General features: G+C 43.6%; 1 annotated feature.

The window, feature by feature from the left end:
- Positions 405 to 905: an enhancer, noted in NCBI's record as "H3K4me1 hESC enhancer chr4:116732756-116733256 (GRCh37/hg19 assembly coordinates)". NCBI's record gives its function as "activates a minimal SCP1, AML or CMV promoter by ChIP-STARR-seq in primed H9 embryonic stem cells {active_cell/tissue: H9 hESC(primed)}" and the evidence as "EXISTENCE:reporter gene assay evidence [ECO:0000049][PMID:30033119]".

Genomic DNA, 2,339 nt, shown 5'->3' on the forward strand with positions numbered 1-2,339 from the left:
AATAATCTTGAACTGTCATACAGAGTGAGTTAAAATATCAGTTTGTTCAAAAGTTCAATATAATTATGAAATATATATTCATGTATTCCTTAAAACTTTTTTTAAAATTGTGCAGAGTAAATTGAGTATATATGAAGAGGAAAAATAAAGTTTCATGGCTACTAAGTCTATGTTCCATTTTTCAGAGAGTCTTTATATTAAAAGTTTGCAATATACAATTCTGAGAGGATAAATATCCTCATGTTCAATTTCTATAATTAAACATTTTGTTTTTGCTTTCATTAGCATTTTACTAAAGAGATGTTTAAAAAAACTTAAGTTATCACAATCTGCAGTTATTTTCTTCCCAAATCTTTCATGATATACATGTCAATTTCCGGCTTCCACATTTGCATGGTACACTAAAAAATTCCAGGAACTTGCTCTGCCCCAGTAAAAGATGTTTAGGACCATAATGATTGTATTTGAAATGTATTTCCAGGGCGGTTCCAAGATGGCTGAATAGGAACAGCTCCAGTCTACAGCTCCCAGCATGAGTGATTCAGAAGACGAATGATTTCTGCATTTCCAACTGAGGTACCTGGTTCATCTCACTGGGGATTGTCGGACAGTGGGAGTAGGACAGTGGGTGCAGCGCACCAAGTGTGAGCTGAAGCAGGGTGAGGCATCGCCTCACCTGCGAAGCACAAGGGGTCAAGGAATTCTCTTTCCTAGCCAAGGAAAGGGGTGATAGACGGCACCTGGAAAATCGGGTCACTCCCACCCTGATACTGTGCTTTTCCAACGGTCTTAGCAAATGGCATACCAGGATATTATATCCCGCACCTGGCTCGGAGGGTCCTACGCACCCAGAGCATCGCTCATTGCTAGCACAGCCGTCTGAGATCAAACTGCAAGGCGGCAGCGAGGCTGGGGGAGGGGCGCCCACCATTGCTGAGGGTTGAGCAGGTAAACAAAGCGGCCAGGAAGCTCGAATTGGGTGGAGCCCACCACAGCTCAAGGAGGCCTGCCTGCCTCTGTAGAATCTACGTCTGGGGGCATGGCATAGCCAAATAAAAGGCAGCAGAAACCTCTGCAGACTTAAATGTCCCTGTCTGACAGCTTGGAAGACAGTAGTGGTACTCCCAGCGCACAGCTGGAGATCTGAGAACAGACAGACTGCCTCCTCAAGTGGGTCCCTGACCCCTGAGTAGCCTAACTGGGAGGCACCCCCAAGTAGGGGCAGACTGACACCTCACACGGCTGGGTACTCCTCTGAGACAAAACTTCCAGAGGAACGATCAGGCAGCAACATTTGCTGTTCACCAATATTCACTGTTCTGCAGCCTCCACTGCTGATACCCAGGCAATCAGGGTCTGGAGTGCACTTCCGGCAAACTCCAACAGACCTGCAGCTGAGGGTCCTTACTGTTAGAAGGAAAACTAACAAACAGAAAGGACATCCACACCAAAACTCCATCTGTACGTCACCATCATCAAAGAACAAAAGTAGATAAAAATACAAAGATGGGGAAAAAACAGAGCAGAAAAACTGAAAATTCTAAAAATCAGAACACCTCTCCTCCTCCAAAGGAACGCAGCTCCTCATCAGCAACAGAACAAAGCTGGATAGAGAATGACTTTGATGAGTTGAGAGAAGAAGGCTTCAGATGATCAAACTTCTCCGAGCTAAAGGAGGAAGTTCGAACCCATGGCAAAGAAGTTAAAAACGTTGAAAAAAGATTAGACGAATGGCTAACTAGAATAACCAATGCAGAGAAGTCCATAAAGGACCTGATGGAGCTGAAAACCATGGCACAAGAACTACATAGCAAATGCAGAAGCTTCAGTAGCCAATTCGATCAAGTGGAAGGAAGGGTATCAGTGATGGAAGAACAAATGAATGAAATGAAGTGAGAAGAGAAGTTTAGAGAAAAAAGAATAAAAAGAAATGAACAAAGCCTCCAAGAAATATGGGAATATGTGAAAAGACCAAATCTACATCTGATTGGTGTACCTGAAAGTGACGGGGAGAATGGAACCAAGCTGGAAAACACTCTGCATGATATTATCCAGGAGAACTCCCCCAATGTAGCAAGGCAGGCGAACATTCAAATTCAGGAAATACAGAGAATGCCACAAAGATACTCCTCGAGAAGAGCAACTCCAAGACACGTAATAGTCAGATTCACCAAAGTTGAAATGAAGGAAAAAATGTTAAGGGCAGCCAGAGAGAAAGGTCAGGTTACCCACAAAGGGAAGCCATCAAATTAACAGCTGATCTCTTGGCAGAAACTCTACAAGCCAGAAGAGAGTGGGGACCGATATTCAACATTCTTAAAGAAAAGAGTTTTCAACCC

This window comes from Homo sapiens, chromosome 4 (assembly GCF_000001405.40).
Source record: "Homo sapiens chromosome 4, GRCh38.p14 Primary Assembly".
In the NCBI taxonomy this organism is placed as follows: Eukaryota; Metazoa; Chordata; class Mammalia; order Primates; family Hominidae; genus Homo; species Homo sapiens.